The 14,816-nt window shown below is 45.4% G+C and overlaps 2 annotated features.

Annotated features, from left to right (window-relative positions):
• Window positions 13,470-14,669: an enhancer, noted in NCBI's record as "MED14-independent group 3 enhancer chr8:38724712-38725911 (GRCh37/hg19 assembly coordinates)". NCBI's record gives its function as "activates an origin of replication core promoter dependent on BRD2, BRD4, P300/CBP and CDK7 cofactors, and independent of MED14, by STARR-seq in HCT116 cells {active_cell/tissue: HCT116}" and the evidence as "EXISTENCE:reporter gene assay evidence [ECO:0000049][PMID:35650434]".
• Window positions 13,805-14,306: an enhancer, noted in NCBI's record as "H3K4me1 hESC enhancer chr8:38725075-38725576 (GRCh37/hg19 assembly coordinates)". NCBI's record gives its function as "activates a minimal SCP1, AML or CMV promoter by ChIP-STARR-seq in naive H9 embryonic stem cells {active_cell/tissue: H9 hESC(naive)}" and the evidence as "EXISTENCE:reporter gene assay evidence [ECO:0000049][PMID:30033119]".

The following is a 14,816-nucleotide window of genomic DNA, read 5'->3' as shown; positions in this document are numbered from 1 at the left end:
TGAGGCCAACCTGGGCAATGGATCAAAACTCCCACCCTACAAAAAATTTTCAAAATTAATCAGGCATGATTCTACACCTGTAGTCCCATCTTCTTGGGAGAGTGAGGTGGAGGATCACTTGAGCCCAGGAATTGGAGGCTGCAGTGAGCTATGATTGCACCACTGCATTCCAGCCTGGGTGACAGAGTGAGACCCTGTCTCTGAAAAAAAAAAAAAAAAAACATTTCCAAGAGCTCCATGGGAAGCAGAATTTTTGGTGCCCTGGGACAGATTCAGTTCAAGCTTTTCATGACTTTGTTTCCCCTTGCCCTTTTCTTGCTGAAGGCAGTGCTCACAAAATTGTTTTTTTTATTTGTTTTTTTGTTTGTTTATTTGCTTGCTTGTTTTTTGAGATGGAGTCTCACTCTGTTGCCCAGGCTGGAGTGCAGTGATCTCAGCTCACTGCAACCTCCGCCTCCCAGGTTCAAGTGATTCCCCTGTCTCAGCCTCCCAAGTAGCTGGGATTACAGGCACCCGCCACCACACCCAGCTAATTTTCATATTTTTAATAGAGACAGGGTTTCGCCATGTTGGCCAGGCTGGTCTCAAACTCCTGACCTCAAGTGATCCGCCCTCCTGGGCCTCCAAAAGTGCTGAGATTATAGGTGTGAGCCACCGCACCCAGTCCATTTACTTTTTTTTTTTTTTAATTTAAGCAGGCTGCTGTGGAACCAATTGTTATATTCTTTGGAAAAGCAGTTTTCAAGAGCCTTAAAATATTTTTATCATTTGGCCCAGTGATTCCCACTCTGGAAATCTATCCAAAGAAAATGATCTAAAATGCAAGTGAGAAAAAATTGAACATAATGTGTTATGGGACTGAATTATGCCTCCCCCCAACCCCTAATTCACATGTTAAAACCCTAACGCCAGTAACTCAAAATTGACTGTATTTGGAAGTAGGGCCTTTATAGAGGTGATTAAGTTAAACAGAGTCTATTAAAATAGGCCCTAATTCAATCTGAGTAGTGTTTATATAAGAAGAGGAAATTTGAACACATAAAGAAACACCAGGGATGCCCAAATACGGAAGAAAGACAGTGCAGACACAGGAAGGAGGTGACCAATGGCAAGCCCAGGAAGGGGGCCTGGGCAGAAACCAACCCTGCTCCCACCCTGATCTTGGACTTCCAGCCTCCAGACAGTGAGAAAAAAAATTTCTGTTGCCTAAGCCACCTAGGTCTGTTGTACTTTGTTATGGTGGCCCTAGCAAACTAATAGACAATGATTTTTAAAATAATTATATATATTTAAAATAGAGAACAATTAGAAATGGCCTAAATGTTCAACAATTGGGAAAAGAGTATCATACCATCATCAAAATGCTGAGGGTGTATGGAAAAAACAGCTTACAAGATAATGTTTAGCCAAAAAAAGCAAGATGCCAGGCACAGTGCCTCTCACTTGCAGTCCTATCTACTTGGGAGGCTGAAAGAAGAGGATCACTTGAGACCAGGAGTTCGAGACCAGCCTGGACAACATAGCAAGACCCCAACTCTAAAATAAAAAACATCATATGTACCCCATAAATATGTACAACTATGATGTACCATAATTAATAAAAGTAAAATAATTTTGAAAAATTATATGTTGTCATATGGGTTATTTTTTAAAAAGCAAGATACATTTTATTTTATTATTATTTTTTAAGACAGTCTTGCTCTGTTTCCTAGGCTGGAGTGCAGTGGTGCGATCTCGGCTCACTGCAAGCTCCGCCTCCCAGGTTCAAGCCATTCTCCTGCCTCGGCCTCTCTAGTAGCTGGGACTACAGGCTCCCGCAACCACGCCCGGCTAATTTTTGTATTTTTAGTAGAGGTGGGGTTTCACCATACTGGCCAGGCTGGTCTCGAATTCCTGAACTCAAATGATCCACTCGGCCTCCCAAAGTGCTGAGATTACAGGTGTGAGCCACTGTGCCTGGCCACAAGATACATTTCATACACACACACACATAAATGCATATATATATGTATATATATATACCCATATATATATATGTATATATACCCATATATATATGTATATATATATACCCATATATATATGTATATATATATACCCATATATATATACCCATATATATGTATATATACCCATATATATGTATATATATATACCCATATATATGTATATATATATACCCATATATATATGTATATATATATACCCATATATATATATGTATATATATATACCCATATATATGTATATATATACCCATATATATATGTGTATATATATACCCATATATATGTATATATATGTGTATATATATACCCATATATATGTATATATATGGGTATATATATATGCCCATATATATATATGTATATATATATGCCCATATATATATATATATGATTTTGACTATGCTTTATAAAGCCTGTGGTCAGGGGGAAAAAACTAGGAGGAAAAAAAGCTCATTGTAGTATTGTTTTAGAAGATGATGATGATGATTTATATTCTCCTTTCTCCATTGAAGAGTTAAACCTATTGTTATTTGAAATACACCTTATTTAAATAAGCAGGTAAAATAGGGCACTCTGTAAGTGGACCTGTATGAATGTACTCTTACAGAGAGTAGACTTCTGAAAGGAGACAGTATTGTTTGGACTGAGGATGTGGTTCTTGGTCTCAACTGCACCAACTGTATTGATAAAATTCCTGCCCACATATCCCCATGTTCAGTGCAGCAGGTTAAAAGCTGTTGTGCACGTCATGCCTTTTTTTTTTTTTTTTTTTTTTTTTGAGACAGGGTCTTACTCTTTTTTTTGTTCGTTTGTTTGTTTGTTTTATTTTGTTTTGTTTTTTGAGACAGGGTCTTACTCCGTTGCCCAGGCTGGAGTGCAGTGGTGCAATCACAGCTCACTGCAGCCTCCACCTCCTGGGCTCATGCAATCCTCCCACCTAGCCTCCAGAGTAGCTGGGACCACAGGTGCATACCACCATGCCCAGCTAATTTTTTAAAATATTTGTAGGGATGAGGTCTCACTATGTTGCCCAGGCTGGTCTCAAACTTCTGGGATTAAGTAATCTTCTTGCCTCAGCCTCCCAAAGTGCTGGAATTACAGGTATGACTCACTGCACTTGGCCTGGATATCATTCTTTAATTGGTCCCAGGGTGACTGAAACCCTTTGTCTTTTTCTCAGAGAGGACAGGCAAGGGCAGATGTCTCCCACTTGGCCTTCTACATGCTCTTCTCTGAGCTCTGCCATGATGGGTTCTCATCTAGTCAGCCTGGGAGCAAACCACGCCTAGGAGGCACGGGGAAGGCTGGCAGGTCCCTGCAGCTCAATGTCCCTTCTATCCCTCAGAGAGATGCATTCTCAGAAAGAAACTGCACTCATGTCTCCTCTCCTTTGCACCCATACCCTTTCCATTTTCCTCTGATGGATGTCTTTCCTTTGACTGCAATCATCATGCATGTGGACAGCTCCTGAGTATGTGTCTGCAGCTTGAGCCTTTCTACTTCTCTCTACATTCCTGTATCGAATTGCACGCTGGTCTTCTACCTCCAAATGCCCCAAACCTAATATACCTAAAACTCGCCTTGTTGACTTTGTCTCATAAACTTCTCTCTCTTGCATTCCCTGTCTCTATAATAAAGACATAACTTCCACCCCGTCACTCAAGCTAGGAACCGAAATGTCATTGTCACTCCTTCTCTCTCACCACCCACAGCCAATTAGTCATCGAGCCGTATCGATTCCCACTGCCTACACCCCTTCCATCTCCTCCTCCCTGCTCCTGGCTCCTCCTCGCCTTAGTTCAGGCTCATGTTAGTCCTTGTTTGGGTCATTCACTCATTCAGGCTCTGGGGGCATGTTGGTGAATAAGATAGGAATGAGTCCTTCCCTCATGAAGCTTGTGGGTACGAAAGACAATAATCAAACAAAAGAATCCCATGTTTATGATGTATCAGAGCAATATGAAGAATATAACTGTTTGCTTGAAGAAGGGGAAATTAAAATTGAGACTGAGAAGAAAGTTTCGCAGAGAGAGCTCAAAGACAAACACTCCAAGAAAGAGAAACAGCAAACAAATGCAAGGCCCTGAGGTGAAAAGATCTCGCCATATTGGAGGGGCTTCGGTTGCCATATTGCTCTGAGAGGAAAAGTGGAACCAGGTGGCATGGAGAAGTGGGCAGGGCCCTTCTGGGCAACAATGAGAAGTCTGGATCTTTTATTATTGTTTATTTATTTTGAGACAGAGTGTCGCTCCATCACCAGGCTGGAGTGTAGTGGTGCCATCTCAGCTCCCTGCAACCTCCACCTCCCGGGTTCAAGTGATTCTCCTGCCTCAGCCTCCTGAGTAGCTGGGACTATAGGCATGCACCACCACACCCAGCTGTTTTTTGTTTTTTTGGTTTTTTTTTAGTAGAGATGGGGTTTCACCATGTTGCCCAGGCTGGTCTTGAACTCCTGGCCTCAGGTGATCCACCCACCTCGGCCTCCCAAAGGGCTGGGATTCCAGGCATGAACCACCATGCCCAGCCAGAAGTCTGGATTTTACCTTAAGCTGTTGAAAAGTGTTAATCAGGAGGGTGACCTGTCTCCCTGGGCCTTCCATATCTCTTCAATCCTTCTTCAACATGGCTTCAAGGTTGGTCTTTCCAGGACAAGTATCTGATCATGTCTCTCTGGGTTTTAAAAATTTCCAGTGGCTCCCATTTGCCTGCTGTTAACACCTAAACTGCTTAGCTTGGCCTACAAGGCCCTGAATGCTCTCGCCCCATGTTTCGCTCCATCCTTATTTTTCCTTGTGTCTCTTTATCTCCTTTGCCTGGCCATGCCAAGCAACTTCCAGGTTGCCTCGTGGGTTCTGCCATGTCTTTTCTCAGGATGCATCTCTCTGGGTACAGCATTCCCTACGCCATCCATCATCAAACAAAAATCTACACATCCTGCAAGCCGAAGGTCAAATGTCACCTCATCTTTCCTGATCACTACCCCCCAGATAGAATGGACTGTTCCCACAGGGCATGGTGGCTCATGTCTGTAATCCCAGTTACTTGGCAGGCTGAGGGAGGAGGATAGCTTGAGCCCAGGAGTTGGAGGCCAGCATGGGCAACATAGTGAGACCCCCATCACTAAAGAAAAAAAAATTGTTTTAAATGGATGATTCCCTCCTCTGCATCCTCAATGTTTGACAGCACGTGTCTGTTTACATGCATCTCTCCCTGTTCACACATGACCCTTTGTTACTCATATTTATTCCCTACCATTGAGCACAGAGCTTGGAGTACTTTATTGTGTAAAAAGAACGGATTTCCCCTGTTTTGCATATTTAGATTACACATGATAGTTTTGCCAAAGGAGCAGGAAACCAGATGCTTGAAGCTCAGTGAGAATTTCTATTTTTTTTTTTTTTATATGGAGTCTTACTCTGTCACCCGGGCTGCAGTGCAGTGGCATGATCTCAGCTCACTGCAACCTCCGCCTCCTAGGTTCAAGCAATTCTCCTGCCTCAGCCTCCTGAGTAGCTGGGATTACAGGCACCCGCCACTACGCCCTGCTAATTTTTTTTTTTTTTTGTATCTTTAGTAGAGATGGGATTTCACCATGTTGGCCATCCTGACCTAGTGATTCACCTGCTTCAGCCTCCCAAAGTGCTAGGATTACAAACATGAGGATTTTAATGAACATGTCAGTTGAGACTTATAGCAGATCTGTCTTTGAGCTGCCAGTATTCCCAACATAAGCTACATCCACACGTTGAGCCCCATTGGCAAGGAGGGAACTTGGAAGGAGTTTGAGCAAGTAAAAATACCTATGGGGCACAAGCTATTTTGAAGCCTATTTACTTGTTAGCCACCTCTCATCATTCTACAGTGTCCGCACCATTTCCACAGTCCTCATCCAATCACAGATGGTACCAGGGGATGCATTAGCTGCTTGAAGCAGGACTGTCAGAGACAGAATTTGTCACTTCATAATTCCTGCTAAAGCCGGACATGGTGGCTTGCACCTGTAATCCCAGCAATTTGGGAGGCTGAAGTAGGAGGAACTTGAGGCCAGGAGTTCAAGACGAGCCTGGGCAATATAGCAAGACCACATCTCTACAAAAACATTTAAAAATGGCCGGGTGCGGTGACTTACACCTGTAATCCCAGCACTTTGGGAGGCCGAGGCGGGTGGATCATGAGGTCAAGAGATTGAGACCATCCTGGCTAACATGGTGAAACCTCGTCTCTACTAAAAATACAAAAATTAGCTGGGCATGGTGGCATGCACGTGTAGTCCCAGTCACTCAGGAGGCTGAGGCAGGAGAATCACCTGAACCCGGAAGGTGGAGGTTGCAGTGAGCTGAGATCACGCCACTGCACTCCAGCCTGGCAACAGAACGAGACCCTGTCCCCGCCCCCCCGCAAAAAAATTAAAAATTAGCTGGGTGTGGTGGCGTGCCTGTAGTCCCAGCTACTCAGGGAGCTGAGGTGGGAGGACTGCTTGAGCCCAGGAGGTTGAGGATGCAGTGAGCCATGATTGTGTCACTGCATTCCAGCCTGGGCAACAGAGTGAGACCCTATTTGAAAACTTCCAATAATTTCCGGGTAAGTGCTCTGCACTGCGGAGTGTAGGTGGGGGAAAATAAAAAAGTAAATAACTTGTTTCCTATATCTAGGGAAGGGAGATCATGACTCTGTCCATAGAAGGCACCAATTGATGTTTGTTAATTGACACATTGATAGGCAAGACATAATTAGAAGATAAACTAGGGCTATATAATCAAGCACTGGACGGTATGTTACAGGCAGCAAAAGCTACGGATGTTTTTCAAGGTCTCTTGACCTTGACGTTGAAGGTCAATGCATGGCTCCTACCAGCTTGTGTCTGCTTATCATGGACTGGGCCACAAATGAGGATGAAGCAAAAGAGAATCCCAAAATTACCAGATGTTAAGGGTTACAGAAAAAAAGAAAAAGAATCAGAAAATGACCCTGCCAAGTGCTCAAAGTGGTTTCTCTGCTGCCTGTCAAAGGGCTTGCCGTGTGCTGAGAAATACCTTCAGAATGAGTGCCCTTCCTGCCTTTTCAGCAGCTGCTGCTCGGAAGAAAGTGGGGCAGAAGTGGCCCGGGGTAGCAAAGAGGTGGCCAGGGAAATACATCTAGGACCAGTCTGCACACTTCTGCTCTCCAGGTTTGAGAACTGCTGTCACTGATTACTGTTGCATGAGTGCTTACTGAAAAAAGTCACGATGGGGACAACTGAAGGCAGATGTGTTCCCCGTGCCGAAGACCAATGGTGCCAAGTTCCCTTGCTCTCCGGATACGGCTGATTCAGAAGCTTTGCCAAGTGGATGCCATTGCCTGCGCCTGCGTCACAAGCAGCACAACTTAGAAGAGGACAGCTGGCTGCAGCTCAGGTGAGATGTAACCATGACCAATTTCTGAAGAAAGATGTGAAAACTTTAAATCAAGCTATAAACGGTGATGCCCCTTCTTTTCATAAATCCTAATTGTGGTGATTTCATTTGGTCTTAAGCATCAAGCAAATGACAACTTCTTTTTTTTTTTTTAATTTAATTTTACTTTTTTGGAGATAGGGTTTCACTATGTTGCCCAGGCTGGTCTCAAACTCCTGGTCTCAAGCGATCCTCCCTCCTCAACTTTTTTTTTTTCTTCTTCTTTTTTTTTTTTTTTTTTTGAGACAGAGTCTTACTTTGTCACCCAGGCTGAAGTGCAGTGGCGTGATCTCAGCTCACTGCAACTTCCACCTCCCAGGTTCAAGCGATTCTTGTGCCTCAGCCTCTCGAGTAGCTGGGATTACGCGGGCCCACCACCATGCCTGGCTAATTCTTGTATTTTTAGTAGAGGCAGGGTTTCGCCATGTTGGCCAGGCTGGTCTTGAACTCCTGACCTCAAGTAATCTGGCCTGCTTCGGCCTCCCAAAGTGTTGGGATTATAGGTATGATCCACCATGCCCAGCCCCTCCTCAGCCTCTTAAAGTGGGGGGATTACAGGGGTGACCATGGCGCCCAGCCCAAAATGCAGCTTCTTGGTGAAGTTGAAGTCAGTGTTTCTCCTACCTTAATGGTCAAAAATTTCAGCTGACTTTTTGTTTTGTTATTTTTTTAGCTTTCCATATATTTATGTCTTGGCTCACTAATCTAATACAGAGGACATGCTGTTTCCAGAGCAGGGGCCCATGAAGTTCATTGTACATAATAATCTGGTGCAAAACATCTGTAACTGGACTGACTTAGCAAGTTTTAGCCTTTTAGATCACAGCAAGGCATTAGTATTGCTTAACTATCACCTCCTGTAGAGTCCATCTTCACATAGCTCCAAGTACACACACAAAAAAGTCCTTTACAGCTACGTTTAGCTAGCTTTTGACCTCTGAATCTCGTAAGAGTTTCTTACATTCTCGTTTGCTTGGCCAGAATCTGCTTTCATCTTTTCTGCAGAAGTAGAACCTGTGTCTCCAAAGACAAATAAGGAATTTAATTCAGTGGCTTTTTGTTTCTGGGGATAAGAAATGGCAACATTTTTCAGATCTATTGTCCACCTAAAGCCATGCCCTTTCTCCAACATGGGGACAAAGGGATGGTGAATTTTTGCTCTGAATATCAATTATAAACACAAATTCACCCTGGAACTCAGAACCTAAACCTTGGTTTTATTTTTATTTATTTTTTAAGTTTTTGAGACAAGTTCTTGCTCTGTTGCCCAGGCTGGAATGCAGTGGTGCAATCATAGTTCACTGTAACCTCGAACTCCTGGGCCCAAGCGATCCTCCCTCCTCAGCCTCCTGGGCAGCTGGAACTACAGGTGTGAGCCACCAGGCCCAGCTAATTTTTAAGTTTTCTGTAGTGGTCTCACTGTGTTGCCCAGGTTGGTCTCCAACTCCTGGTCTTAAGCACTCCTCCTGCCTTGGCCTCCCAAAGCACTGGGATTACAAGTGTAAGCCACCATGCCTCGCCCTAAACTTTGGTTTTAAAAAATAAAACAGTCAGACACAGTGGCTCATGCCTGTAATCTCAGCTACTTGGGAGGCTGAGGCAGGAGAATCTCTTGAGGCCAGGAGTTCAGGACCAGCCTGGGCAGCATAGTGAGACTCTGTCTCTTAAAAAATTTTAAAAAAGGCAAAACAAAGATGTTAGTAGCATCTAATGTTAATAACATTGTGACCACAACCAATTAGCTAATTTGTTTTCTGATTAGTCACTTACATTAGCCACATCATCTTAAATAACTTAGGTTTTTACCTCCTTCTAACATAAGCTTAGCAGTAGCCTATTTTTAGATAAGTCACTTAAAGTTTCACTTGAAAGGGATCAAAAGAATCAATAATTGAAGATGGAATTAGACACACCGGGTCCAAAAAATTATGTACCCAACAGTCAGCTTTTGTGAGTTGGCGCCTCCCCAGCCCCATCATCCATATTTTAAAATGTTGAGTGTGCGTGTGCACCAGATGATTCATCCAAGCTGCTCTGGAAGTTCTCTGCTGGTGACAGTAAAGCCGACCCACCCCCCTGTCCTCCCCTCTGCCTGGTGAAAATGCAGACTATCAGTTCTGTGGCACTGTCACAGCACATCGTGGCCTTCTTTATTTAGGTGCAATGCTGGTGGGCAGTGCGCTCCTACACGCAGCTTTCCATCTCTTGATCACATTCCCCCACCACTTTTATCTGCCTGCAACACCCAAATGTTCATGCCCAAAAAGAAAGTGAGGACTTAAAGATCCCCGGGGTCCTCAGAACCCGCAGAACAGGCCCCTCCAACAGATTATCGCTTGGCTTCATTGGTCCTCATATCCAAAAAGGTTAGATATTAAACTGTTTCCCAGCCTTATCAATGCAGGAGCCTGGCTCTCTCTTCCTGCTTACTGAAGATATAACAAAAGAGATTCTGAAATTGCTGGTGGTACCAGCTCTTGGGTTTCTTTTCTTTTCTTTTCGAGGTGGAGTCTTGCTCTGTCATGCAGGCTGGAGTGTAAGTGGCATGATCTTGGCTCACTACAACCTCCACTTCTTGGGTTCAAGCCATTCTCCTGTCTCAGCCTTCCAAGTAGCTGGGATTACAGGTGCCCACAACCACGCCCAACTAATTTTTGTGTTTTAGTAGAGACAGGGTATCACCATATTGGCCAGGCTGGTCTCAAACTCCTGACCTCAGGTGATCCACCTGCCTTGGCCTCCCAAAGTGCTGGGATTATACGCATGAGCCACCGCACCCGGCCAGCTCTTGGGTTTCTTTTAACAAAGATTTTGGGGGCAGATCTGTGCTCTGAGGATAAAGCTAACCACCCTAAAAACAAGAGTCCTTCTCTGGGGTTCATCCATCCCTCCCAGTATCCCCCTCCTGAAGCCCGTGTCCCCTCCCTTCTCCACGCCATCCAGAGACTTTCACATTCAGGAGGAAAGTTGGGCTTTTTTAAACAAACAAACAAACAAACAAACAAACAAACAACTGTAGATGTTTCAAGCTAGCCCTACAGGCTTCCAGCTCTCTCCCTTCCCCTCTTCTTATTCCCCCACTCCTGGCTCCTAGTCAATGACTAAAGCTCTCCAGGAGTATTTATGGACAGGGTATCTATTGTTGACCTTGTGATCACACTAATCCTTGGCTCGGGGCTGCTCTGCTCTGCTCTGAAAGAGTCACAAGGGTGATTGGGTGGGAGTAGGGAGGAGGACAGTGCCTCATTCAGGAACAGTACATTTATTTATAGAACAGGCCTTTTCCTCTTCTTCCTAGAATCATCTGTTAATGCCGCACTTGCCATATCCTCAAACACTCCCTTTGGGAGAGAGATGATAGGGGCCCAGGACTTCAGAATTAAAGGTCAAAGTTCTTAGAGTCAGGGCACCAAAAGACTCCTCTCCCCACGTCCACGGACAAACCCAGAGAAGCTCAGATTCCTAAGAGCTGTGGACCACTGGGCATCATGATTTCCTCGATAGCACCAAAGGTGTAGCCAAATGCTCTCTCCTGGAGACGCATGACTCAATGCCTGCAGGGTGGGGAGTGGGAGCTCAATTCCTGGGAAATTCTGGCCTCATTCTGGCAGTATTTGGGGTCTGATAGGCCTAATAATCCCCTTTATCTTTTTTTATTTTTATTTTTTGAGACAGAGTCTCGCTCTGTTGCCCAGGTTGGGGTGCAATGGTGCAATCTTGGCTCACTGCAACCTCTGCCTCTTGGGCTCAAGTGATTCTCCTGCCTCAGCCTCCCAAGTAGCTGGGATCACAGGCATGTGCCACCACGCCCGGCTAATTTTGTATTTTCAGTCGAGACGGGGTTTCACCATGTTGGCCAGGCTGGTGTCGAACTCCTGACCTCAGGTGATCCACCCGCCTTGGCATCCTAAAGTGCTGGGATTACAGGTGTGAGCCACCGTGCACAGCCAGCCTAATAATTCCTTTGGGGGTTTTTGAAAAATAGGCTGGGAAATTGCTGTGGATAAGAGAGTAGGGAGATGCAAAGGGCATCACCTTGTTTATCTTGTAGCATGTGATTGCCACTATCTGGATTAAAAAAAAAAAAGAAGAAAAATACAGGGCTTCAGGCAAGGAGTGAAAATGAAGGCCATCTGCATAAAGCTGGAAGAGGACTCTTGAATCCACAGGCCTGCTTAAGCTTGGAAACATTTAGCCCACAATTATCTGCTGCCCTGTGTGACTGATTGCTTCTTGTGTTCAAGTTCTGACTGAACCAGACAGCAAATCAGTTGTAGGCAGAAGCCTTAGGGAACAGAGCTGGGTACAAAATGAGTTCTCAGAAATCCCTTGTGGATTTTCAGACGTGGATTCTTATAAGTGACTATCATTAGCATTAAAAGATGTTTTTTGAAGATGGTGATGATTGATGATAGTAATGATGATGTTTGGATGATGATGATTGATAATGATGATGATGATTGATGATGTGGTGACGGCAGAATCCTACTGGAGGAAGGAACCTTGTGTCTTTTTTATTTCTTTCTTCCCTCTGCCCAGAAAGTACAGTGCAAATAGTAGGTTTTTAAAAATCATTTGCTAGATTATCAAATAAATCATAATCATTCCATGTCTGTCAAATAAAACCTTTTTTTTTGTTTTTGAGACAGGGTCTAGCTCTGTTGCCCAGGCTGGAGTGCAGTTGCACAATCTCAGCTCACTGCAACCTACACCTCCTGGGTTCAAGTGATCCTCCCGCGTCAGCCTCCCAAGTAGCTGAGACTACAGGCACGCACCACCACTGGGCTTGGCTAATTTTTGTAATTTCTGTAGAGATGGGGTTTCACTATATTGCCCAGGCTGGTCTTGAACTCCTGGGTTCAAGCAATCCGCCCGCCTCAGCCTCCCAAAGTGTTAGGATGACAGGCTTGAGCCACCACGCCCAGCCTACACATGGAACATCTAAGTTGCTTGGTGGTGACTTTGATTAGGCTTGAAGCTTTTCTTTTTCTTAAAGAAACAAAACAAAAATAGGATGTTGGGAGCCTGCTGATCAGTTCTCCATATAACTCATCTGAGTTTGTGCTAGCACAAGGTAGTGGTTCTCAAACTTGAACCTTGCATCAGAATCACCTGGAGCTTGTTAAAAACACTAGCTGGGGCTGGGCATAGTGGCTCATGCCTGTAATCTCAGCACTTTGGGAGGCCGAAGTGGGAGAATCATTCAAGTCCAGGAATTTGAGACCAGCCTGGGCAGCATAGTGAGATCCCATCTCTGCAAAGTGAAAGCCTGTCACAATGCTGGGTATGGTGGCACCCCTGTGGTCCCAGTTACTTGGGAGGCTGAGGTAGGAGGATCATTTGAGCCCAAGAGTTAGAGGCTGTAGTGAGCCATAATCATACGATTGCACTCCAACCTGGGCAACAGAGCAAGACTCTGGCTCTAAAAAAAAAAAAAAAAAAAGCAAAAACAAAACCCACCGTAGCTGGGCCCCAGAGTTTCTGGTTCAATACCTATAAAGTAGGTCTCAAGAAGATGAGATCTTAAAGTTCTCATGCAATGCTGCTGCTCCTAGTGATCTGGGGCCCCACTTGGAAAACTGCTGCCCCAGGGTGTGTTAGCAATGTCTCAGGTTCTCCTACCTGGAACTTTATTTGGGGGGTTTAAGAAAGGTCCAGGAAATGGACTCACAACTCTGTGTAAAGAGACCTATGGAGAGGTCCCTTGGAGAATTCTTCTCAGAGGATTGCTGCCACCATCTCAGCAAGGGCCCACTTTCTCTAGAATTTAGAGATTGTGGAAGTGGGACAAAGGTTGCCGAGGGACCACGTGGGGATCCTGATCTAATTTGTCTGCAGGCTCACCTCTCCACCCATCTCTTCTCCCCACTCCAGCCCCAGGTGATTTTTCTAAATCAGAAACTGGACCATCCCAGTCTCCTGCTCAGACACCTGTGATGGTGAGAGACAGGACTAGCTGGATTTCCTAGGCCAACTAAGAATCCCTAAACCTAGCTGGGAAGCTGACCACATCCACCTTTAAACATGGGGCTTGCAACTTAGCTCACACCCGACAAATCAGGTAGTAAAGAGAGCCCACTAAAATGCCAATTAGGCTAAAACAGGAGGTAAAGAAATAGCCAATCATCTATTGCCTGAGAGCACAGCGGGAGGGACAATGATCGGGATATAAACCCAGGCATTCAAGCCGGCAACGGCAACGCCCCTTTGGGTCCCCTCCCATTTTATGGGAGCTCTGTTTTCACTCTATTAAATCTTGCAACTGCACACACTGCTGCTCCGTGTTTGTTACTGCTCGAGCTGAGCTTTCGCTCGCCATCCACCACTGCTGTTTGCCGCTGTGGCAGACCCATCGCTGACTTCCACCCCTCCAGATCCCGCACCGTGTCTGCTGTGCTGCTGATCCAGCGAGGCGCCCATTGCCGCTCCCAATGGGGCTAAAGGCTCGCCTTTGTTCCTGCATGCCTAAGTGCCCGGGTTCATCCTAATCGAGCTAAACACTAGTCGCTGGGTTCCACAGTTTTATTCCATGACCCACAGCTTCTGATAGAGCTGTAACACTCACCGCATGGCCCAAGATTCCATTCCTTGGAATCTGTGATGCCAAGAACCGCAGGTCAGAGAACAAGAGGCTTGCCGCCATCTTGGAAGCGGTCCGCCGCCATCTTGGAAGCGGTCCGCCACCATCTTGGGAACTCTAAGAAAAAGGACTGCCCGCCACCCCCTCCAGGTAACAATGGCTCACTGTTCCTCCACAGTTTGACCCATGCCTGGCTCTTCAACTTTGCCTCCTGCTGCTCCAGACATCCCAGCATGCCGTCTCTTGCCTCGTTCCTCTGCACATGGTTTTTCTGGATGTACAGTGTCTTTCCTGTTCCCTCTCACCTGCATCCTACCCATAGGATTGTCCACCCCCATATCTCTAAGGAAAGTACACCTCCCTCGTCTCCCCTCTGCTGGCTGCCAAGGCCACAATTTGAACCCCCAACAAACCCTCATGACCAGAGTTGTTGCATTGGTGGCATTGGTGGTTTACTCTCAGACTCCCGTGCTGCGCTGTGGAGGAACCGGGACTGGGTCTCTTGAATCCTTAATATTCAGCATGCTGCTGGGATTGTAGAAGGAGCTTGGTAAAGGTTTGCTAGATAAATGGAGACTGCCGAAGACTCAGTGCTAACTGACCACACACTTCATCAGTCATTACTCGTGTTACTGGAAAGGGGTCCTGATCCAGGCCCCAAGAGAGGGTTCTTGGATCTCTTGTAAGAAAGAATTCAAGCTAAGTCCATACAGCAAAGTGGAAGCAAGTTTATGAAGAAAGTAGAGGAATAAAAGAATGGCTACCCTCGGGGCTGCTGGTTGCCCATTTTTATGG

The sequence above is a fragment of the Homo sapiens genome, chromosome 8 (genome assembly GCF_000001405.40).
Source record: "Homo sapiens chromosome 8, GRCh38.p14 Primary Assembly".
In the NCBI taxonomy this organism is placed as follows: Eukaryota; Metazoa; Chordata; class Mammalia; order Primates; family Hominidae; genus Homo; species Homo sapiens.
This window is presented reverse-complemented; position numbering and strand designations above follow the sequence as displayed.